This window comes from Homo sapiens, chromosome 12 (genome assembly GCF_000001405.40).
Source record: "Homo sapiens chromosome 12, GRCh38.p14 Primary Assembly".
Classification (NCBI taxonomy): Eukaryota; Metazoa; Chordata; class Mammalia; order Primates; family Hominidae; genus Homo; species Homo sapiens.
This window is the reverse complement of record NC_000012.12, coordinates 30,664,803-30,690,675: the sequence shown is the minus strand read 5'-3', so window position 1 is coordinate 30,690,675 and position 25,873 is coordinate 30,664,803. Positions and strand designations below refer to the sequence as shown.

The window sequence follows — 25,873 nt, the reverse complement described above, 5'->3', positions numbered from 1 at the left end:
CTTTTATTTGGACAGTAATGTATTCAGTAACCGGTGCTAACTTATAAGCTACTCACTTATATTGCCCTATTTTATAAAACATTTCTTTGTAATTTCAGTCCTACAAGATTATCAATTTTGCCCCCAGTTTACTTCGGATTATAGTCTCTGACCATGTGGAATTCCCAGTACGACAGGCAGGTGAGTTGGTTTTTTATCCTTTATAAATTTATTTATAGGTGAGAGTAGAATGAGAGTTTTATTTTAATTTTACATATCTGTAATTTATTGAAAAATTCAGAAGCACTAGCACTCATGAAGTATTTCCAGTGACTTCAAAACTCACTTTCTTTTTCCCCAGAAATTTAGAGGTAGATACTGAGCTCTCAAATATCTTCTAGCTCTTTTTTTTCCTCCTCTCCCTTTTACCCACCAATTCCTTGCCTCTGTAACTTTGCCCTTATTTTTCTCAATTTTAATAGCTGATCTCTCTAACGTTTTATGATTTCTGGTAGCCTAGCCTCTGGGCCCATAGATTAAGACCATGAATTTATATATGTGAATTCGAGCTCTGTTACGTGGCAAATCATGGAGGTAATGTGTTGCACAGATGTTCCTAACCCAGGTGACTGCGGAGCAGGACTATGTTTTAAACATGAAACTTACTTTTAAGTCTGTGGGATCTTACGTTGTTTCATGATGTTGTACATCGTTCTTTTATCTTGTTTTTTTATGGACTGGTCATTAGAGCCCAGAAGGTTAAAAATTAGAGCCTTAGAGTATCATGAATTTTCAAAAGATAATAATCAAAAGCTAAAGGAGGTAAACGACAATAGCTAATTAAAAATAAGTATTTAAAAAGACTTGTTATGTAAGTGACATATACATGTAAGTAATTTGGACAATTTAGAAGAATACAAAGAAGGAAGTAAAACTACCCAACATTCATCACTCAGAAATGGCCATCATTACTCATCATTAACGTTAGGTGAACATTAGCCTTTCCATGTGTTCACGTAGAAGGATAGATGAACAGTTTCAGAGAAATGGGTCATAATCTACATGCTGATGAAAGTATTTAATTTGATTTGAACATAGAATAAAAAGATAAAGAAATATTAAGCTTTGGGAAGATTTATAACACTATATATGATTTCCTGAAAGATCACTTTGTGGTTAAGATAAAAAAGAAAATCCTATGGAAAAACACTGATGTTGGAATTATTTTTTGCTTTTATAAGGTTTACAAGACTTCTGTGTAAATTTTTGAAACCACAATTGGCACTTGTTTCATCTTTGTTTTATAAAATAGGGCTGTTCTGGAATAACATTTTGTTGAATGGAACCTATTTTAAAAACCTAAGTGTTTATAGGGCCATTGTAAAGTTCCTATGAAGCATTTAAGAAATAACATTTTAAAAGATCTTAAAACAAGTTTTTACATTAATGTCTTCCTTTAATGACATGGAAACATTAGAAAAACACAGTTTATAACTTACATTGTTCTTAATACACCCAAAGATGACTGCCATCAGCTTTGATGCGTGGCTCTCCAATTCTTTTTTTTATATTACACATGCTATTTTACAGTTTCCTTTTTTTCATTTAACCATGTACCCTTGAAGATTGCTCCAAGTCAGTGCATATAGATACTTCATTCTTTATAACAGCTGTGCAGTATTTCTTTATATAAGAATTACCATGGTTTACTTAAACGATTTGATATTGATGGACATTTCGCTTATTGTCTTTTTTTCATTGTTGATAGAAGCAATGCTAAATGAGTGTCATTTGATATGTATCTAGGTACTTGTGGGAGTGTTTTTATAGAATAAGTTATAACAAGGGGAAATGCTTGGCTAATGGATATTTATGACATTTAGAATTTAGAATCTTCTCACTAAGTTGCTTTTGCTTACATTTTCTACCAACAGTGCATTAGAATGCTAGGTTCCCCAAATCCTCACCAACTCTGTACAACTTAATGAAGTTTTGATGTAAAATGTAAACAGCATTGAAAGGCATTTTTTTCTTCATAATTTGTTTTTTCATAATTTAGATTTCAAATCCTAAATTTAAGTGGTATTTATAAATTTTCTGTTCTGTTTAATCTATTATTAAAATACAAGGATGCTCCAAGACACCTAGAAAGATAATTTATCTTTAGCATGACACTTAAAAAAGAATGTTGTGATTTTTGCTTTAAAAGAAAGCCTGTATAAAGCTGTAAAAAAAAAGTTATGCTAATGTTAAGTGGAAATACATCTGCAAAATACTTTTTCTCTTTTGCTTGTGGGCAATCTAAAGTGTTCTTGCTACCATCAAGCGTGCTCACTGGTGAATGTCCTTTCTTACCTTACTGTGAGTTTTCAAGAAACAGGAAAAAATTAAGTATTTTGATGTTGCCAAGCAAAACAAAAAAATTTGAATGTTTGGTCTGCTGCTTTTCTTTTGAGGTGTTGATAAGCATAATAGCATTATTAATATTATCATGTGCGGTGAAGGAAGCCTATCTTAAATTTAGGATAGTTATGATCTGGAATTTCAAATCACTTTTGTTTCTAATTTTTTACTTCTTACATCTGAAGAGACTCTTTAGTAAAATTTCTCTAATATATGTAAATTTAGGCTCAGAAATGTACTTTTTTCAGTGCATTTTGGAGTTGCTACGAGAAGGAGAGAGTAGTTTGGATTTAAAAGTGGTGGTTGAGAGGTATTAGACCTGAAGAGGTCATCAGTGGTGACAGATGTGGGACTGTCATTTAAAAAAATAGCATGGTTTTTGATTTCTATAAGTTTGCCTGCTCCTTGTTGTTTCTTTTTGTTTGTATTTCCAAAGGATGGACAGGGAGAAGATATAACAATTCATTCTGTGGTTATTTGTTTAGAGGTTATTTGTTAAGATTGACGTCAGCATTGCAGAGTGCAGAACCTAGAAATAAACAGAAAGATGCCTCTGATCAGTCCAGAAGCACTTTAAGAAGCTTTTATTAACATTCATGCATTTTATTTGTAGAAAGCTTTGTGGCTTGTGCTCAGAATCTATTTAATATTGTTTTGATAGAATTGACACATTTGTTGTCTAATCTAGCCTTTCACAGAGTAATAAGGGAGAGAAGGGGTACAAAATTACAATGAAAAACAGCAAGACTTAGAAACATCAACTCAAAAGCATGACATTCTGCCCACCGAGATAACAGTACTTTCTCCACTTTGAGGTTATGAAACCCAATTGATTCTGTAGTTGTGTCTCTGGGTCCAGAGCTTAAGTGATGATTCATTGTGCTGAAGGAGAAAAGTGTGTGTGTGTTTTTAGAAAGTTAATTTCAACTTATGATGCTTAAAATGGTGAGTGGATTTTGTAGGAAAACTGTCTTAGAGCAGCCATTTTTATCATAGAATCTGAAATACATTTATAAAATTCTACATTATAACTATCCTAAATTTAAGTGCCATTTGTAGATTTTCTGCTCTATTTAATCTATTATTAAAATACAAGGATGCTCTAAGACACCCAGACAGATACAGTAAATTTAATATTTCCTTTATGAATTGGATTAACATGATATTAGTCCTTTGTTTCTTAGTTCTGGCAAATGGTTTGTATTTAGGCACTTGAATTAAATGATTAAAGGGAAGTTTTCAGATTATTGGTTGATATGGTAACAGTTATCTTTGGTATTTTTCCTTTATCCTTAGTAATCCATAATTATCCATCATAGTAATTAAAATTTTCTTTTTAATATATTTTCAATTTTATTTTACCTCATTGTACATTTATTTAGGCATATACAAATTAGTCAGTGTGCCTTTTTTAAAGGCTGTCTCGTTTGATGCACCATAATTTTTAAATTATAACTTTTCATTTATAAAATTAATATTAATAGTATTTAATGACTAAATCATAAATAAGTCCATGATTTTACCGTGTCTGTATTTTTACTGTCTAAAGGTTGCTTTTCTTTGTTTTCAAGACTAGTTCTATAGGGATCAAAATGATTTTGTGACTAATATAGTTGATTTTTCTTTTTGCAAAGATTGATCCTGTGAAATCAGGCTGGGTGTTCATGCCTGTAATCCCAGCACTTTGGGAGGCTGAGGTGGGTGGATCACTTGAGCCCAGGAGTTCAAGACCAGCCTGGGCAGTATGGCGAAACCCTGTCTCTACAAAAATACAAAAAAATTAACTGGCGTGGTGGTGCACGCCTGTATTCCCAACTACTTGAGAGACTGAGGTGGGAGGATCACCTAAGCCCTGGAGGTGGAGGCTGCAGTGAGCTGTGATTGTGCCCCTGGACTCCAGCCTGGGCGATAGAGTGAGACCCTGTCTCAAAAAAACCCCTAAATCCTGTGAAATCAGTCTGAACTGCTGACAGGTTGGTTCATATCCTTAGATCATTCATTCATTATTTTTTGAATAGTCTATACATTTTTATGGAATGTGTACTCTTTGCCAGTCACTGTTACATAATATAATGACTATACCCGATAAAACATGGTACCTAGTCTAGAGCTTGTGTGGTCTGAATTAAAAACAAGTAAGGGAAAAAAGAAAACTCTAACACACATCCCCCTTTATATAATTTTTGTTTTCACCCAAATGAATTGAAATCATAGATGGAACAGTTTTTCAGAACTTTAGCTACTCAAAACTAATGAAAGAGGAGCTTACCAGATGTCAAGTTCATAATTTCACTAAATTTCTTTTAAGTTTTAGCTAATGTAGAATGTATTGGTGTATTCTTTATGGTATAGTGCTTTGACTACCCAATTTAGTTTTTTTTTTTTTTTTTTTTGACAGAGTCTTGCTCTGTTGCCCTGGCTGCAGTGCTGTGGCATGATCTCAGCTCACTGCAACCTCCGCCTCCTGGGTTCAAGGAATTTGCTGGAATTACAGGTACCTGCCACCATGCTTGGCTAATTTTGGTATTTTTAGTAGAGACGGGGTTTCACCATGTTGGCCAGGGTGGTCTCGAACTCCTGACCTCAGGTGATCCGCCCGCCTCGGCCTCCCAAAGTGCTGGGATTACAGGTGTGAGTCACTGCTCCGGGTCATGAATTTAGTTATATGTTAAAAGTTGGGTGAAGAAAGAGTTGGGTGGGGAAAGAAGAGAAGCTTAAGGGAAGAAAGTTATGCTGCTTTGCAAATCACGTATCTGTATTCTTTACACACACACACACACACACACACACACAACATTATAAGTATTTACTTACATTCACTGTTCAACTGGGATGGTTAGAAAGCTTTACATTCTGGCCAGGTGCAGTGGCTCACACCTGTAATCCTAGCACTTTGGGAGGCCGAGGCAGGCAGATCACCTGAGGTCAGGTGTTCGAGACCAACCTGGCCAACATGGTGAAATCTTGTCTAACTAAAAATACAAAAATTAGCTGGGTGTGGTGGCACATGCCTGTAATCCCAGGTATTTGGGAGGCTGAGGCAGGATAATCGTTTGAACCCGGGAGACAGAGGTTGCAGTGAGCCAAGATCTTGCCACTGCACTCTAGCCTGGATGACAGAGAAAGATTCCGTCTCAAAAAAAAAAAAAAGAAAAGAAAAGCTTCACATTCTTTCTTAAAATGCTGTAGCAATATGTCAGCCTGTTTCTTTCAGAAGCCTTTTGTTAAAGGTTGAAGACGATTAAAAAGAACAGAACAAAATCAGATTATGTATTTTGATAGATGTGAACATATAAAAATTTTCTGAGCTTTTTTCCAAAAATTTTTGATGGCTGATGTTCATTTCCCTATTATATTTACAAGTAGTACATATTTCAAAAAGGTTGGATGAAAATTACCAATACTATAAAAAGAAGAGATACCCCAAAATGCTAGTGTTTGACAGTAGCCAGTGGGAAAACAAAAAACAAAAAAAGCCATCTTCATGAAGGAAAGTAGAACTTTACCTGTTGTCACCTCAGAATTAGGCATTGCGAAAAGTATGATTTTATGATCTCAAAGTATGTTTACTATGCATTATTTCTAGATAATTTTCCTGTCCTGTAAGCTCTGGGTCTTGACTTAATGAAATGTTTTCTGCTTAGACTAGCTGAAGTGAAACCTTTAAATTCTTATCCACTTTCCCTTCCTGATTTGGCTGTTTATACCTGTAAGAGTATCCATTTTTGCTGGGTTTCATGTTTAACATTGAAGGGTTTGGACTTTCATGCTCTGTAAGGCTGAATTAAAGCCATCCTTTTTGGTACTGCTACATTAGCATTTTTTCTCAAACTCAGCTGCCATTTACCTGAAGAACATGGTGACACAATACTGGCCAGATCGAGAACCTCCACCAGGAGAAGCAATATTTCCATTCAACATTCACGAAAACGATCGCCAGCAAATACGTGATAACATTGTGGAAGGAATAATTCGGTCTCCAGATTTAGTGAGGTATGTGGTGCTATATATTTGTGATTACTAGAAAGCATGAAATGGTTAGATCTGAGGGTGGGTGCTGTTGGATCTAATCCTTGGCCTCATGTTTCATTTTCTAAAGAGGTAAAGTAATAAAGAGGGACACTCAAAGAATATTATTTTACTTAGTGGTCTTTGCATTTGTAATTCTTTGCCTCAAGATATTTTGGAAAAGATTTTGTTGTCGTATGTTGCCACAAAAAGAGGTAAGATTTAAAAAAAATGATACTTAACCAAAACAATTGTGTAAGTCTTGCTACTTAAATGACCTTTATTCTTAGTAATGATCTCTTGAGTTTTTTTACTACCTGCTTTTCTTTTCTTTGATACAGAGAGACTGATTCTGGGAATTTTTACCTACTACCTGTCTTAATCTTTCCCTGTATTTTTATTCACATTTATGAATTGAGCATGTTTTCCTTCAGAGAAGACAGGATAGAGTAGGTATAAACTAGAAGAACTGTCTCCAGTTTTTTACAGTCATAGATTAGATGCTGTAGAGCAGTAGTGTCCCTCAGAACTTTCTGCAGTGACAGTGTTCTGTGTCAGTGCTATCTAATATTAGCCACAAGGCATCAATGACTGTTGAGCACTTGAAATGTTGCTAGTTGTAACTGAGGAACTGAATTTTTAATTCTATTTACTTTTGATTCATTTAAAGTGTGCATATTTAACTAGCAGCTGCTCTATTGGACAGAGCAGCTGTAAAGTCATAAAAATTTTGCAATCTTAAAATAGGAGAAACAAATTCTTTTCAACATACAAGATAGTAATTAGGTATCTTTTGAAAATGGGAGGGACAAATAGGTGAAAACAGAGGTAGAGGAATGAAATTTTTTAATATCAAGAGGTTGAATATAACGTTAGCCCTTAGTATCTAATAGCCATCATGACATAAGCAGTGGAAAAGGAAGGAAGTACGACGGGTAACAGGAAGGAGAACAAACATTGAACTCTTAGAGCAATTAATTTGTTAAGAGGAGAAAATAGGTGTACTGGTTAAAAAGAAAAAATCACTATTATTCTTATTGGTTGCCCAAATGCCAGTCATGGGACTGATACCCCTGTGGTACCATCATGTATCCATTTATTTTCAAAATCTTAAATTTTCAGATCTCCCTTAATCTTCGAGTGGTTCTACACAGTAATGCATGAAGGATGGCCTTTCATAACCATCCTTTGCTTGGAATGAGAAAGGACTGGGAGAATCAACCTGAAGATGAAATTTTAAAAAATGAAAAGCTTCAGTTTTATTTTTTACAAATATGACATTTATTGTTTAAAGGAGCAGCTACTACTGGCACTAAAGGAGATCTTTTATCTTTATTACGGGACGGTTCTCTGTGGCTTTGCTCCTTTTATGTCCTTAAGGCTTAATTATAATCATTGTTGAAATTTCTTCCACCTATTCTCAAAGTTTAAGAGTATTACAAAGGGATTTTTCAAATAGATTTGATAACGTGAAGAAAAGGCATCATTTTGTTTAATTTTACCAGTTTAAGTGAATCTGAGTTACTGGTTGTTCAACTGAAAATGCTTTATTTTTTTTTTAGTTGCCCTGTGGAATCCTAATTTTGCCAAGTTTGTTTTCTAACCATTTGAAAATGTCATGTAAGGTCATATTTGGTGATAACATTGAATTGATAGTTTATAGAAAAGAAATTTTTCCCCCTATTTTCTTTTCAGTTCCAGTTAAAGTTGAAATCTCATTGAGGAAATGATTACTTATCTATGTTATCAGATAACTTATTTTAGCATTTAACTTTGTGGTTTTATTAAAGGAATATTTTCTTTTTCTGTTTTATGTCTCTTCTGTTGCCTTTTTCATTTATTTCTTTGGAAATAGCTCTTAGCTCTCCTCTTCAGGAATTGCCTCGCTAATAATACATGTTTCTTTCTTATACTTGGGGTACAAAAATTAGTATCTCAGACTGCTTTGGATAGATTCAACATACGATGTTGGGTTTTAATTGATAATGGATGAGTTCAAGGTTTTGGCCCATAGAGAAGCTTCCCACCATTATGTAGGCCTTCTTTGTACTTACTTGTACCATCTTTAGACTAGGTTTATCTGTTTGAAGTGTTATTTTTTCCCCCATTCAGGATATGGTAACCAAAATATGAGATATAATAAGCTGGAAATTTTACAGAGTGGAGGTAGATTCATTGGAGTTTTTTGAAAATTTTAAACTATTTAAAACAATTTTTTTAAACTGTATTTAGGATAAGATAGTTTGAAAGGTTTCATTCATTTTAGAAACTCACCCATTCTGTTTATTTTCAACAAGTTGAGCCACTGAGGATGTTTTTTAGATATGTCTTTTTCCCCTACCCCACATATGTAAGTATATAATACACGTAAATAGAAGATAACAAACTTTTATGTAAAATATTAGAGGTCTTTGAAACACAGTATTTATAATTACTTAGATTTTGGACTTTTCTTCCCTACTTTGTAGAGTCCAATTAACAATGTGTCTCCGTGCCATCATAAAACATGATTTTCCTGGTCACTGGCCAGGAGTGGTCGACAAGATAGACTATTACTTGCAATCACAGAGCAGTGCAAGCTGGCTTGGCAGTTTATTATGCCTGTATCAACTGGTGAAGACATATGAGTAAGTTGGTTTCCATTGGCTGAAGAAAGCAGCCTTGTGTAACTTAGAAATAATGAAGTTGCAAAGAGTGGTCTGTTGTGGATGTTCTGCACAGGTTATCAGATTAGTTTGGGAAATGTTGGGTTAAACATGCTTAAATGTGTTTATTTGCTGCAGTTATTGAAAGAAACTTTAATGTGCTGATGGATATTGCTAACCTCTGAGACAGTGATATAATATGAAGCACTTCTCAAACTTGTTAGTTGCACAGTACCATTTATTAACAGCTTTCCTTGGAAACTCTGATATAGAGATACCTTTATATTTGTCTTCTAGGGAGTATATTAAGTAAACCAAAACATTTACTTTTTTGGATGCAAGATAGAAAATGTTAACGTTTCTTTGCTAATGACATTCTTTTCCATAAAAGTAGCTTGGGTAGGTAGAGGACTAATATCACACTTAATAGTATTGCTTTCTGGTTTCTAGGAAGATTGCTACATGTGTATATGAAGTCCTGTAGTTCTCCTTTTAAACTGACTAGTTCCTACTCTGCTTATGAAATTTATAGAACATATTTTAGATTTATGGCAATTAAAGCAATCTAAGAGCACCTAAATTTTAAACTATTTTAACTACTCAATTCAGGGAGAAATATAATAAGAAAATTCCCCCCATATTATTTGTTATATAGTCTATTTAAAATAGCATAGCAACTTATATTTTATAGTAAGAATTTTGGCTGGATGAAAATTAATTTAAATACTAGAAACATTCATGTAGGAAAACTGCAAAATGGTCTCGGGTTGTTTTAAACTAGTCTAAATCTTTCCAGAAAGATTTTAGGTGTTGTGCCTAAAACAGGATGTGTTATTTTAAATTTCTTTTCAACTTAATTCTAGCAATTCAAACAAACTAGAAGCCAATGTTAATGACTTTGTTTTGTTAGTTTTATGTATTTAAAAAATATTTTATAATTTATTGTTGATGGTTCTTTGGGTGGGAAAAATTACTTTTCTGTTTTTGTCTTTGCTCATGTAGATATAAGAAAGCAGAAGAGAGAGAACCTCTTATAATAGCAATGCAGATATTCCTGCCTCGTATTCAGCAACAAATTGTTCAGCTCCTTCCTGATTCCTCCTATTATTCTGTATTACTGCAGAAACAAATTCTGAAAATCTTTTATGCACTTGTTCAGGTAGGTTTCTATTGCAGAAAACAAACATGGAGTCCTGTATTTCTGCCTGACACATGGAAAGTGCTCAATAAGTGTCACTTATTATTAAAAATTATTTTGTATTATCCCATATATTTCTTTAAAAAATGCTTATGAGGAACAGGTTCACAGAAATTAATTACCCAAGATCGTCTCAATGGCATATCTGCCCCTAAGTGCTTTTCACTCCAGTGTCTGAAATCATGGGTAAAGCAGAACCAGGGTAGGTAAACCTACCTGCTCTAAAACCTGATTACTCGCAACTATCTGTTCTGTAGCATTCCTGCCTATAGATTAGTTATGATTACAAGAGAAGAAGAAGGAAAAGAAGAAGGAAAAGAAGAAGGAAAAGAAGAAGGGAGTCCCTCTTCTATTGGGAAATCATATTGATGGTAGTTTCTTTGCATTTGACTCAAAGCTAACAGAGGATTTAGGGTTCATTTTCCTTGGTTTAAAATACTGCCTAAAAAAAAAAAATCTGAATGCTATAAGGGATACCAACATGGGAATCCGGAAAGAAATGAGAAGATAGAGATGGAATATGTTTGAAATATAAAAATATTTAACATCAAATCCTTGAAAGATTTGGGTAAATTATTTAGGTCTGATTGGAGGAAGAATAATTGTTTTCAGTCTTAACTGTTTGATGAATGAATTAAACTCTATTACATGCTTTCTAGTTGAATTTGTCGTGAGAAGAGGATGGTTTTGTTGAGCTCAAAAACCATGATAGTTTGGATCCATCCTTGGCTTTTTATTGACTTAGATACTTAAACTATTTCAAAATATTTTACTTTAATAAAGATTTATATTTTTATTAAAGCTTCCCCTTTTAAACTTTTAATAGGGATAGTCTGAGGCAGATATTTTTTTTTTTCCCCCAGAGCAGCCTTTTTGCAGGGAAAGAGAAGAGGGAAGGAGGCAAATGTGAGAAGAGAAGAAACTAGAATACTAGGAAAATATGTTCTCTCACTTGTTTTGAAATAATATTCAGAGGCCAGACTTCCTTTTTCTATTGGCAGAAACAGCTAGAAATTGGGAAGTAAGACAAAGGCTAATGAAATAATTTTTCTAAAGCCTCTACCTCTAATTGGTTTGCTAAGACGACAGAATCTTCATATTTTTCTCAGTCTATACTTGCTAAAAACCTGGAAAACCTCAACATTTTTAACCATTTTGGTAATCTGTTATGTACTAATACATTAATATTCTCCTCTGGGAAGTAGAAATTTAGAAGGCATTAGGAGCCACTATTACAATGCTGACATAAGTAAAAAGCGATAATATGAGAAGGAGCAGACAATTTTGTTTTTAAAAGTATGAGCAGCCGGGTGCAGTGGGTCAGGTCTGTAATCCCAGCACGTTGGGAGGCCAAGGTGGGTGGGTCACCTGAGGTCTGGAGTTCAAGACCAGCCTGGCCAACATGGTGAAACCCCATCTCTAGAAAAATACAAAAATTAGCCAGAAATGATGGCGGGTGCCTCTAATTCCAGCTATTCCAGAGGCTGAGGTGAGAGAATTGCTCAAACCCAGGAGGCGGAGGTTGCAGTGATCTGAGATTGCACCATTGCACTGCAGCCTGGGTGACAGAGCGAGACTCCGCCTCAAATAAAATAAAAGTATGATACAACAGATCTTGTCTAAGTAGCATAATATTTGTACAGGACACTTGGATATTCTATACATAAGCTCAGCCTAACCCTCAGCCTACTTCTCCTCTGTTCCCTATATCAAATCCAAATGGCTTCCAAATGCACTTAGAATAAAGTGCATTTGAAACTTCTTAATATAGCCCATAAAGCCCTTCATCTCCTCACCTTCTTCTCTTATTCCTACCTTTGTACATGTACAGTCATGTGTTACTTAACTTTGGGGATGCATTCTGAGAAAATGCATTGTTAAGTAATTTTTGTCCCTCTGTGAACATTGTAGAGTGTACTTACACAAACCTAGATGCTATAGCCTACTACATACCTAGGCTGTGTGTTGCTCCCTGGCTGCAAACCTGTACATGTTACTGTACCAAATACTGAAAGCAGCTGTAACTCAATGGTAAGTAATAGAAAAGATATGCTAAAAATGCAGTATAAGATATTTTTTAAAAAGCACTCCTGTATAGGGTACTTACCATGAATGGAACTTGCAGGACTGGAAGTTGCTGTGGGTGAGGTAGTAGTGAGTGAATGTGAAGGCCTAGGACGTTAGTCTATGCTTATAAATGTTGAACATTTAGGCTACACTAAATTTATAAAATTTATCTGCAATAATAAATTAACCCTAGCTTAGCTTACTGTAACTTTTTTACTTCATAAACTTTAAATTTTTTTTTTTTTTTTTTTGAGATGGAGTCTCCCTCTGTCGCCCGGGCTGGAGTGCAGTGGCACAATCTCGGCTCACTGCCACCTCCGCCTCCCGGGTTCAAGCAGTTCTCCTGCCTCAGCCTCGATTTACAGGCGCCTGCCACCATGCCTGGCTAATTTTTTGTATTCTTAGTAGAGACGGGGTTTCACTGTTTTGGCCAGGCTGGTCTCAAACTCCTGACCTCATGTTCCGCCTGCCTTGGCCTCCCAAAGTGCTGAGATTACAGGCGTGAGCCACCACGCCTGGCCAAACTTTAAAATTTTTAACTTTTTGACTCTGTTGTACTAACACTTAGTTTAAAATATTAACATGTTGTACAACTGTACAATAATATTTTCTTTATATCCATATTTTAAAAGGTTTTATATTTTAGAATTTTATTTTTTTTCAAACTTTTTCATTAAAAACTAAGACACACACACATTAGCCTAGGCCTATGCAGGGTCAGGATCATCAATATCACTGTCTTCCACTTCTGTATTCTGTCCTGCTGGAGTGTCTTCATTTCAGGGGCAATAACATGCATGGAGCTGTCATCTATGATAACAATGCCTTCTGGAATACTCCTGAAAGACCTACCAGAGGCTGTTTTAGATAACTTAAAAAAAAAAGTAGAAGGAGTACACTCTAATGATGAAAAGTATTGTGTAGTAAAAATATAAACTAGTAGCATAGTTGTCATTACCAGTTACGTACTGTATAAAATTGCTATACTTTATACAGCTGGCAATTCAGTAGGTTTGTTTGCACCAGCATCACCACAAATATTTGAGTAATGCATTGTGCTGTGACTTTAAGATGGTTACTATGTCACTAGGCGATAAGAATCTTTCAGCTGTGTTCTAATCTTATGGGACCATTGTTGTATATGCAGTCTGTCACTGACCGAAACATTTGTTATGTGGTGCATGACTTTATATACATTTTTTCCAGTTAGAGTGTAAGCTTCGTGAGGGCAAAGATTGTCTATCTTATTATGTCTGTAGCATGTAGCATGTTTTGTACTGAATGGATGTGGAGGCAATATCCGTCTTCTGCAACTCACAGTACAGCAGAGGTGAGCCATATATCTGTTTAGTACAAAGTGGACTGTAGTTATTATGCTACAGTGTAGAGGAAAGTAATTTAAAAAAATGTTTCATGAGTGTTTAATGAAATAAATATTTTCATCAAGGTGGTTAAAATGGAAAGTTTGACCCTCAAAGGGGTAAGTCATAAAAATCACTCACTTAGAATCTCATGCTGAATAAATGAGACCTCAGTGGTATTCATTTGTTTTTCCTTTTAAAAAGTAGACCCAAGAAACAACTCATGGCAGGTAGTCTTCTAAATTTAAAAATTTAAGTTCTATATGGTCGTATGAATCTGTTTTAAGTTAGGTTGAACCATACAAGATTGCTATTTTCATTCTCAAATGTTAGCCCTTTCATATATTTTAGCCTTACAATATAGATAAAATTGCTGATTTTTTTGGATGGGAGGAATTACTGTTCATGTTGTTCTTCTCTTTTCCAGTATGCATTGCCTCTTCAGCTAGTGAATAACCAAACCATGACAACATGGATGGAGATCTTCCGAACTATTATCGACAGGACCGTTCCTCCTGTAAGAAAAAGCTTTTCCCAAGAAAAATAGGGGAAACGGGTTTGGAATGTTTGCGGTAGACTGATGCATTATCCCTGACTGCTCTTTGAAAAAATTTACTACTTTAATAAAATAAATTAATAAAATAATTCATAATACCATTTTTAGAAAGCTTAGATAAGCAATTTAAATCCTACCAAAAATGAAAACTGTTTTTAAAACTTTATTTCTTTAGTCTTTTTTTCCTCTGCATCTATATACAACATATTTAATTTATAAAAGTAGTATACGTTGGCTGGGCATGGTGTCTCACACATGTAATCCTAGCACTTTGGGAGGCCAAGCTGGGAGGATCACTTGAGGCCAGGAGTTCAAGACCAATCTATGCAACATAGTGGGACCTTGACTCTACAAAATGTAAAGAAAAAAGAAAAATAGCTAGATGTGGTAGCATGTGCCAGCTACTTGGGAAGCTGAGGTGGGGGGATCACTGGTAGTTTGAGGCTGCAGCAAACTATGCTTGGGGGACAGAGCAAGACCCTATCTCAAAAAAGAAAAAAAACGTATTGATAATATTTTGAAATTCAGTTTTCACTTAAAACTTACAAATATTTTTATGATTATGAATGCTTTTATACTGTCTTTTTTTCTTTTCTTTTCCTTTTTTTTTTTTTTGAGACAGAGTCTCCTTCTGTCACCCAGGCTGGAGTGCAGTGGCATGATCTTGGCTCACTGCAAGCTCCGCCTCCCGGGTTCACACCATCCTCCTGCCTCAGCCTCCTGAGTAGCTGGGACTACAGGTGCTCGCCACCACGCCCGGCTAATTTTTTTTTTGTTTTTTTTGTTTTTTTTTTTAGTAGAGACAGGGTTTCACGGTGTTGGCCAGGATGGTCTCGATCTCCTGACCTCGTGATCCACCCACCTCGGCCTCCCAAAGTGCTGGGATTACAGGCGTGAGCCACCGCGCCTGGCCTATACTGTCATTTTTGTTGAATGTTTTACTTGCTGGATGTTTAGGCTTTAATTTTTTAGTGTTTTAACTCTTAAGAATGTACTTAAATTTTTGTGCACATATATGATTATTTTCTTTGGATAAACTAGAAACATGGAAGGCTTTTCACTAATCTTGCAGAGTGCTCTGCAATAAAGTGTGCCCTCAGTTACACTTTAATAAGCAGTGACTGAGAATGCCTGTTATGGGTACACACTTAATTCTAAGTTTGTCCATTTGATAGGGAAAAGATGTGTTTCATTTTGATCTGCAATAATACTATCTTTAATTTATCACATTAGTTCTTGTATCTATTAAAATTTTAGTTTGTCTTAAAATGTGCAGTATTATTTCTCTTGTCCATATCGTGAGACAAAGTATTTTGACATTTAGCTTACATACATAAATGCACAGAACTTAATGACTAGTTCAGTGAATTTTGACATACACTTGTGTTATCACCCAGATAAAAATGTAGAACCCTTTCATCATCTCAGAGTGTCCTGAAGGAACCATGGTGTTTTGTATTTTGTCCTCTACTTATTTAGGCCTTTTGAAGACAGGAGGTAAATGTGAACAGCAGCATTGTTTAGTTGAAATTTACTTTGCTTATTTAATTCCTGCCTAGCAATCTATAAAGAATTTTCATTTGTATAGCAATCTAACTTCACATTTAATATGACTTAACCTATATCAAGATTTATCTTGCCTTTGTTATTCACATAAATCCTTTTATTATGCAGAACTTTAATCTGGGTAATTTTGTCCTGTTAGGAGACTCTGCACATTGATGAGGATGATAGACCAGAACTGGTATGGTGGAAGTGTAAGAAGTGGGCACTGCATATTGTAGCTCGGCTCTTTGAACGGTAATTATCTGTTTATTACATTGATGATCATACAGCCAGTATCTCAGTATCAGATATGATTATCTGTCTTTAGAGCCACCGAGAGCCAAGAGTCACTCTGTTTAAAGTAGCTTAATTTTAATCATTGGCTTTGAGATCATAATGAAGTGGGTGGTCTTCTCTGGATCTTTTCTATTCTTCTGTGAAAAACTTGGAAAAATAACATTGTTCAGCCCATTGGTAATATCTAAGAATTATGCAAGAAGTTGCATGGTCACTCAACTCCGTAATAATGTCAAATTTAATTTTAAAAGCATTTATTGAAAAAAATCTATGTCAGTTGTAACATTTTAATTTCCAATATTCACCCTTTAGGAGCTCTTGGTTTAGCAAGTGAAAGCTTCTGTCTGAAACTTTACAGTATGGCCCATAGTCTAAGTACAGGTTATCTTGATTTCATTTTGTGGCTTGTGGGAAAAAAAGGCAGTGTTAGTTTTCTGTCCCAGTAGAATCCATCTTTGAATAAGCGACTATATTTAAATTATTAGCAAGCATGCTGTTTGTAAAATTCACGGTATTTGTACATTTTCTCTTTGTATTTTAAGATATGGAAGCCCAGGAAATGTCACAAAAGAATACTTTGAATTTTCTGAATTCTTTTTGAAAACCTATGCAGTGGGCATTCAGCAGGTAATAAACTTATGCTTTTAAAATAGAATAATGGTTACTACTGAAAGTAAAGGCATTTCTGTCTACTGGAAGTAGGTTACAAACATACTAATTCATTACATATTTATAGAGGATGGAAGGACAGTTCTGGGAATGTATTACAGTGCAATTAGTTTTAAAACCAAGTTTCCAGTGCAATTAGTTTTAGAACCAAATGTCCCGAGACAGCCACCACCAGAACTGAATCCTAGACTCTGGACTCAAACCTTTTAAGTTGATAGTGGTGTAGCAGTCACCAGTATTAGATTGGGTTCTTCTATTAATTCTCTGACCTCTTATGAGTTTTTTGATCTTTATTTCTTCACCTCTTTGTTGTAAGTTTTTATTTTAGAAGACTTATATAATATGAATTGGTCTGTATGAAGAGTAGTTGAGCTTACTAGACGTCAAGACTCTTAGCTGAGAACTTAAACATTTCTATGGAAGTTTGGGGACCATTCTATATAGTGAAAATTAGTTCCTGAAACAATCCAAGTTGACATAATGTTTAAAAATTTTAAAAGCTACAAAGGACAAGTGGTCCATGAAAATTGGTTGATCAGTGTTGCCATTTAAATCATATTTTTATGTTTCAATAAAATTTATTAATTATTGACCACTGGCTGTGTCAGGACCATATTGAGGAAGCAAAGACTAATTAGACATAGGGAAAAGCTTTACTGACATAGAAGGTGTTTCTAGATTTTTTTTTTGAGATGGAGTCTCACTCTGTTGCCCAGGCTGGAGTGCAGTGGCACAATCTCGGCTCACTGCAACCTCTGCCTCCTGGGTTCAAGCAATTCTCCTGCCTCAGCCTCCCAAGTAGCTGAGATTAAAGGCACACATCACCACACCTGGCTAATTTTTTATATTTTTGGGTAGAGGTGGGGTTTCACCATGTTGGCCAGGCTGATCTTGAACTCGTGATCTCAAGTGATCCACCCAACTTGGATTCCCAAAGTGCTGGGATTACAGGTGTGAATCACCGTGCCCGGCTCTAGATTTTTTTTTTTTAAATAGCTCTTTATTGTCAGCATTATAATGTTAAGTACTTAGAACCTGTTGTCTTGAGATGGAATACTTCCGTTTATGTGTTATCATTTTGCCTAGTAGAATGCTTTCTAAAAAGTACAATGCAACAGTTCAGGAAAGTTGTAGTTATATAGTTGAATTTCTCACAAGTTATTTTGTTGGCTGGTGAGACAATCTATAGGGAAAATTAGTGAATAAAACCAGGACAATCAGGAAGCTGGTCATCTGTCTTCTGCCCCTCCCAGTGCTGTCCACTAATGTTAAACTCCTTAAAGTATCTTAAAGTTAATTCCCACTTGAAGTGTGGTGAGTCAATTGTTTTTTCAGTGTCATAAACATGTATGTGTGTGTATACATGTATACACATATAAAAATGCCATTATATCCGTGTTATAAACTCTTGGTACCATGGTTATTTAAGGATATATTCCTGATACTTAAAAATGGTTTTCTTATCAGGGACTCTTCTCTCCCCCACTGTTGTGTAGGGAGAGAATCTCCCATTTCCCATCTCCCATCACCCCTACTTTGTATGAGCCACATCTGTATTAGAAAGAATCATGTTCAGTATCATCCATTTCTAGCTTGCATCACAGAAGGGGTTTCTACATGATGACAGGACTTCCGACAAATTTGGTAAACCTGAGTTTTAGGAAACTTGAATAAAATCCATATTCTGAATTTATAATTTCTGTACCTATTTTGAAAGAATGCTTTTTATTTATTCAGCAACTCACTTATAAGCTTGATATGGTGAAGAGCTCTGGAGACCAGGAATTGGAAGGCAACTTACTGTAGTGAAGAAAGTTGCCTAAAGGTCCTTGAGCCAGTTCAGAGGTGCTTTGGCATGGCTTTTTCCTTATAAATAATTTTTTAAATCAGTTTTTAAAAAATCAGTTTTTAAAAAATAACTTCTCAGTTGTGTTGTGTTTACAAATACCTTCTTTTATAATCTGAGATTATAAAAGAAAATTCTCCCATGTTTTCTTTAAGGAATCCTGTGCTATCATTTTTTGTCAGTGTTAAAATAGTTCCCCATCTGAAGTTTATTTTGGTGTGAAGTTGAGGGAGTTAATTTAAATTTTTTCAGGGGGCTAATCAGTTATGCCAATACTATTTTTTGAACAACTTTTCTCTTCTAATTTGAAGAAGTCTTTATGAAATAAAGAAACATCTTTGTGCTGTCTCTTGTTGTATGGAAGTTTTTAATGTTTCTTTAGTCAGATCTGTTATTGTAATTTTTTTTTTTTTTTTTTTTTTTTTTTGAGGCAGAGTCTCGCTCTATCACCCAGGGCTGGAGTGCAGTGGCGCGATCTCGGCTCACTGCAAGCTCCGCCTCCGGGGTTCATGCCATTCTCCTGCCTCAGCCTCCCCAGTAGCTGGGACTACAGGCACCCGCCACCACGCCCGGCTAATTTTTTTGTGTTTTCAGTAGAGACGGGGTTTCACCGTGTTAGCCAGGATGCTCTCGTTCTCCTGACCTCGTGATCCGCCCGCCTCGGCCTCCCAAAGTGCTGGGATTACAGGCTTGAGCCACCGTGCCCGGCTCCTGTTATTGTAATTTTTTAAACAGGAGTTTTAACTTACTTTGAAGAGCTAGCAGTGGAATAGAAATTTAGACTTTGCCTGGAAGTTACAATGAGACACCGTTTAGTTCAATATAACATGGACCTATCTAATAATTAAAGCTGTTTATCTGAGCTTTCTTACAAAACATTGATTTTTCTCCCAAATCTGTTTATTTTTCTATGGATTCTGAATTTTAGGTCATGCCAAAAATGGCACCTCCCCCTTTTAACCTTATAATTGTTTATGTTAGTCTGTATTTTCTGTTTTCTTATAGGTGCTACTAAAAATTTTAGATCAATATAGACAGAAAGAATATGTAGCTCCCCGTGTTCTTCAGCAAGCATTCAACTATCTCAACCAAGGGGTGGTTCATTCTATAACCTGGAAGCAGATGAAGCCACACATACAGGTTAGTGTCAGAGAGCAGCTCTCCAAAATTATTCTCTGGTTAAATTAGGTTTTCTAGACAAAGTTAGTATTACTAATCCTATATTTTACATTTTATATATATACATTTTACCATTAATAATTTCTAATGAGTGAAGTCCTATGTCAGATATAAAGGGCTTAGAAATTTAAGCATTTGAGAAAAGTGAAGCCTTCAAGTTTTATGAGTCGGGAGACCTGGATTCACTTGATCTTGCTTAATCTCATTAAGCCTCATTTTCTCCTCTATTAAGGCACATAGTGTTTTTCTATTCTTATCTAAAAGTTGCTAGGATTAAATGAGGTATTTTGTGAGAAAGTATTTTGAAAACTTACCAGGGCTCTACTAAGGTAGTGTTATTTTGCAGGAATTGAAGACTGATATGTGACCGTTTTATTTTGTAGGTATGAGCAAGGTTTTTATTTATTTTCTTGGATTGTTAAGTTCAATAGCATCATTGTTTCTATATCGTTTGCCTAAAGGTAGAATTCAGTATTGTTATTTAGCTAAAGAACAAATGGGAATGGAAAATTATAGGCCACTAATAAATAAATACTTCCTTGTATACAAATAATTGGATAATTTGACAGTCTTAGGAACTGAATACCTACTCTCTCCCAAACTGTGAATTCTTAAATTTTATAAATGATATCTGAAAAGAAAAATCTTTCACTTTGCTGTTTGCTGTCCAGGATAGAATTTTAGTGTTATTACCCGTCTTACCAACAGATATCTTTTCTTTGATTTATGTAGATATCTTAATAACTATTTGCCTAATCACTTTGATCAAATAGTGATAATTTCTTTGCAATTAATTAATAAAGATACTGATTTCATTTGCTGTGTTCCTGTAAAGTAAGGGTGAGTTGTGATAACATTTCTTCTCTACTTCATACCTTTGGCTTTATTTTTACATAGCTGTAAAGTAGGAATAAGAAAACGCTGATCCTTAGGCTGAATTTTTTCACTTAGAATTATTTAATTTGGAATTAAGTGGTAAGAGATGATCCTGTTTTTATATAAATTGTTGTTAGAGCCTAAAAGGGCTTAATAGGACATTAGTAGCAGTGCACAGAGAGGCTAGTAGATAGGACTTTTCTCTAACTGAAACATTTGTGGAGTAGGAAATTAGTTTTTTTGGGAATAGAAGTAAAGAAAATTCCAATTTTTTTTTTTTGGAGCTGGAGTCTCACTCTGTTGCACAGGCTGGACTGCAGTGGCATGATCATGGCTCACTGCAGCCCTGAGCTCCTAGGCTCAAGAGACCCTCCAAGATGGACGCCACCATGCTTGGCTACGTTTTTATGTATTTTTTTGGAGATGGGGTCTCGCTACAGTGCCCAGGCTGGTCTTGAACTCCTGTCCTCAAGCGATCCTTCTGCCCTTGGGCTTCCAAAGAGGTAGGATTACAGACATGAGTCACCATGCCTGGCCCTTTAATATTGTTAATACATGGACATTTAGGACTAAAATGGAAATGTTAAAAAAAATTTCAAAATAAGAACTATAATAGTAAATATAACCTCGACTTGACATTTTACACACACACAGAGTTTGGAAAACTAACATCATAAAGGCTGTCAACAAGTACATTATTAGTATTCCTCAAACTTGAATAGCCTATACCCATTTGTTACGTTTTTTTTTTTTTCTCATTTTAGAATATCTCTGAAGATGTGATTTTTTCTGTGATGTGTTATAAAGATGAGGATGAAGAGCTGTGGCAAGAAGATCCATATGAGTATATAAGGATGAAATTTGGTAATTGAGATGGTTTTATTTCTCATCAGTTCCTGGATATGTAAAGTAATATAACTAAATTTATATTTTTAAGCAAATGTTATTACTTTATTAAATCTCCCAGGTTCTGTTTTGCATGACATAATCTGAAACTTTGAGAGTTTGATGTTATTTTGTTGAACTAGAGAACTGGAGATTGTCGGATGTGGGAGATGAAAAGCCACCTCATTCATCTCTCTTACGGGTGCTCAAGTTGAGCCATCTGTTACTTATGCTGTTGCGATGCTGATCTGCAGGGACCATCCGTTTTTGTGCCTTTTGGGAGACTCATTTATAGATTGGGTTGTTCTCATGTGGGAAATACTTTGGATTTCTGCATATTTTAGGGGTACCCCAATTTGGTTTGCTTGCTTGTCTGAGAGACTAAGTGTTCCACAAGGGAAATAAATTTCGTATGGGGGCCCTACTGTGTGTGGTCCAATTCTTTGGGTGTCCTTTTAACTTGGATCTTCCTGGAAACTGTTGAATTGTGTAGGTGGCCTGATTTATTCCCTTTTATTCCCAGTTTGTATTAATTGCTTCATGGAACACTCAAGCACTTAACATAGCAAAATATTAATTTGCATACCTATCTCCCACAACTTAGAAGCTTTCTCAGGACAGGAATTTTACCTTATTTGCTTAATTTTGCATTTTCTGTCTCTTCTACACCTCTGCATTCCTCCACTAGTGCTTGGCCTCCAGTATGCCTTCAATACATGTTGAAAGAAATGATTGCTAAATCTAGCGCTGCGTGCTGAAAGTGCTGTAATGAAGCAGTGCTTTCCCCTTAGTTGAGCCAGGTGTGTCTAGCTACGTAAGCTAAACCTACTGGTACAGATGCTAGTTTTTTGGGCTGTGTTTTTACAGAGCTTTGTGTTTATATTATTTGATTCAGTAAGTGAGGATCCTGTTTTCTCTTGGAGACAAAGTATCAGAAAAGCAAATCAATGAGAAACATTTATCATCTGCTTGATTTGTTATTTTTCTTTTGAAAATCATTATTCATATGTGTAACTTATTATTTCCCCTTTCTTATGCCTTTGTTTTTCTAGTTTGCTTTGAGTGATTAGCCAACCATTCTTCTCTCTCTCTCTCTCTCTCTTTTTTTTGTTCCAGTGACTCTCCCACCTCAGCCTCCAAGTAGTTGGGGCCACAGGCATGTGCCACCACACCTGGCTAATTATTTTTTGCAGAGACAGGGTCTCCCTGTATTTCCCAGGCTGGTTTCGAACTCCTGGCTTAAGTGATCCTCTTGCCTTGCAAGGCATTCTTTTAGTGTTTACTTCTTTCATAATACCTATGTGTTTTTGTGATGTACAGAGTATTTGTTTAGCTTTCAGAAAGTTACCATTATTTATATATTCTTCATATCTGATAAGATAGGTATACATACCCTAGTTTTTAGAAAATAAGAACTCTATGTCTGTTGATTAACAGTGGGAATTTACATTTTATTGTTTAAAAGCGGATATGGGTAACTCAAGACTGACTAGCTGAAGTGAGTTTTCTTTAATCGTTTCCTTCTGTAGACTGGAATGCAGTGGCTTTTATTTGATATGTGTATTTTACTTTTGGGTAACCATAGGGAAGAACAATTACTGCATTTTCTTTTTATATGTTTGGCACTTGCAATTATTTACGTGAAACAAAGCATTCCTATCTAAATGTATTGACTGATTAATAATAATGTTTTAGTTTATTCTTTTTATCTACTCTTTAACCAACATCTCCTCACTTCCCCCAATAATGTTTTTTGATTTGGTAAGAACTAACAAGAGCTCAGGCTTTGATGTTAAGATAGCGTGGGTGTGAATGCTGGTTTGGTCACTTACCTGCTGTGTGACTGTGGACAGGTTACTTAACCTCTCTAAAATTCAGTGCTTTCAGCTGTCAAACGGGTGATGATAATAGTGCTGGGAGGATTAAATGGGATAATACACATGAACTAACTGCTTAGCATAGAATACAAGATGCTTCTAAAACTGTAGCATACTGCTTGGCACAGAGTAAGTACAGTACTCCAAAAATGTTCTTATTATGTTTGTATTTTATATTTTGAGGTAGACTTAGATTTGGTTTTATCTTTTGTATTTAAACAAGGACTTATCAGATACCTCTCAAGACTTCAGTTTCTTATGTAAAACTGCCTATTCTGAAACTTGTGAAAATGTTCATGGTATTAAGTGATATGTTAAGTTTTAGATAGGTATATATTCAACAAAACCTGCTGAACTTACGTATCGACAGAGCCAGGCATGGTCCTAGCAGTCCTTCAAGGCTTTTATACTTGCTGTTTCACCTGCTTGGAGTACTTTATCCATGGATTGCTTTCTCCCTCATTTCATTCAATTTCTGCTTAAATGTTACCTTAACAGAGTTGGAGAGGCTTTTGCTAACACCCTATTTAAACTAGCACCCCATACTCTGTCACTCTGTCTCTTTACCCTATTTTACATTTGTTCTTAGCCTGACTTATTATGTGTGTATATATGTATAATGTGTTTCTTTGTTTCACGACATAAGCTCCGTGAGAACCTTTTTGTTTGATCTTTGTATCCCCGGGGTCTAGAATGGTACCTGGCACATAGTAAGAGCTGAGTGAATTTTTGTTGTTTTTTGATAGAAATAAAGCACTTTTTCTGTTCTCAGTGAAACAGATGTGTAAATGCATTGTTTTCTTCAATATAATAGTTTGAAAGGACAACCTGTAGAGTTTGAGGAACATTGTTTTGTGCAGGAGACAGCAATGTTGTGGTGCCACTGTATATCCTTACCTTTTTAGTACTGTCAAGCAGTGTCATATGTGGATGGTTTTATTTTTTTGGTTTGGAATAGCGGTCAGTCAGGTTTAAAATCTAGAATAAGTAATTATATTTTCACTAACATGGTTTTAACCTTTTAAAATCTTAGATATTTTTGAAGATTATGCTTCTCCCACCACAGCAGCCCAGACTCTCTTATATACTGCTGCAAAGAAAAGAAAAGAGGTATTTCATTTTTCTTTTTAAATCCAAAACTGAAAGGTGGCCTGTGTTGAGTTGATACTCTAGTATATCCCTAGTATTTGAGAAATTATGTTGTTATTCGTTATAATTTGTCACCTTAAGGATTTTTTTTTTCCTCTCCTGGTGAGGGGAAAGGGGGTATCATGGTTATTTCGTTTTCTTAATAAATTATACTTTTCTTATTGAGCTTATAGTTGCTTGATAAAACATAATAAAATGGCTTTATTTTTAAAAATTTGTGCATCATAGTTAATACTATAGTAAGACAATGAAAGTTCATGTAGACTAAATGGATTCTTCTGTTTCTTTAGGTGTTGCCAAAAATGATGGCATTCTGTTATCAAATCCTGACAGACCCGAACTTTGACCCTAGGAAGAAAGATGGAGCCCTGCATGTGATTGGTTCCCTAGCTGAGATTTTACTGAAGGTTAAGATAATCAAAATTTAATTTACTTAATAACATTGTAAAGTACAGGCAAATGAGAGAATATGAAAGTTATGGCTAATTTAAAGCTGGTGACTACCTCTGGATAATTGAGTTCACAACTATCCTCCTTTCTGTCATCTATTTCTTTAATTAAAAAGAAAATTTGACTGTTTAAAGTTTTCAGTATGAAACTATTGATATGTGAAAGGGATACAAAGTATCTTATGTCTACAAAATCAATCAATATCAAACTGATATAAGGTAATATTTGTCTTGTTTTAAAACATGCAATATATAGGTCAAATAATTTTACAAAATTAGAAGTATATTAAATGCAAGTCATAGTAAACACACTTGATTAGGAAGTGATTCTTACGTATGAAAAAGAAATTGATAAGTTGAAATTTGTTTCCTAATAGAAGAGTTTATTCAAGGACCAAATGGAGCTGTTTCTACAAAATCATGTATTTCCATTATTATTGTCTAACCTGGGATATCTTCGAGCTAGAGTAAGTTTTTCATATTTCTGTTATGTATCTTAAATCTTCATAAGATAATTATTCAAATAAATGTTTTTTGGATAAATTGACCTTTTGCCACATATTGAGATGAAATAGAGTCAATTAGAATGTCTGCCTATGGTCACATCAGCTGAATAAAGGACAGACTATTAAAGAAAAAGATTTATAGGCTGGGCGCAGTGGCTCATGCCTGTAATCCCAGCACTTTGGGAGGCTGAGGTGGGCGGATCACTTGAGATCGGGAGTTTGAGACCAGCCTGGCCAACATGGTGAAACCCTGTCTCTACAAAAATACAAAAAATTAGCTGGGCTTCATGGCAGGCGCCTGTTATCCCAGCTACTAGGGAGGCTGAGCCAGGAGAATTGCTTGAACCCGGGAGGCGGAGGTTGCGGTGAGCTGAGATC

At 35.3% G+C, this 25,873-nt stretch overlaps 1 protein-coding gene across 5 annotated transcripts in view; it reads left to right on the top strand.

The window, feature by feature from the left end:
• The window catches only part of IPO8 (importin 8), a 66,882-nt gene that overhangs the window by 5,194 nt on the left and 35,815 nt on the right, over positions 1 to 25,873 (top strand). For 3 of the 5 annotated variants that reach the window (NM_006390.4, XM_017018691.3, XM_017018693.3), the window contains exons 2-13: positions 99 to 180; positions 6,219 to 6,375; positions 8,859 to 9,017; positions 10,038 to 10,194; positions 14,089 to 14,178; positions 15,923 to 16,017; positions 16,602 to 16,686; positions 19,580 to 19,714; positions 21,394 to 21,493; positions 24,425 to 24,501; positions 24,831 to 24,947; positions 25,367 to 25,456. In NM_006390.4, the coding sequence (NP_006381.2) occupies positions 99 to 180; positions 6,219 to 6,375; positions 8,859 to 9,017; positions 10,038 to 10,194; positions 14,089 to 14,178; positions 15,923 to 16,017; positions 16,602 to 16,686; positions 19,580 to 19,714; positions 21,394 to 21,493; positions 24,425 to 24,501; positions 24,831 to 24,947; positions 25,367 to 25,456 (1,344 nt within the window). Of the gene's footprint in view, positions 1 to 98; positions 181 to 4,785; positions 4,877 to 6,218; positions 6,376 to 8,858; positions 9,018 to 10,037; positions 10,195 to 13,431; positions 13,781 to 14,088; positions 14,179 to 15,922; positions 16,018 to 16,601; positions 16,687 to 19,579; positions 19,715 to 21,393; positions 21,494 to 24,424; positions 24,502 to 24,830; positions 24,948 to 25,366; positions 25,457 to 25,873 lie in introns of those variants that run through there. The other 2 variants (XM_017018692.2, NM_001190995.2) reach the window with 2 other exon arrangements.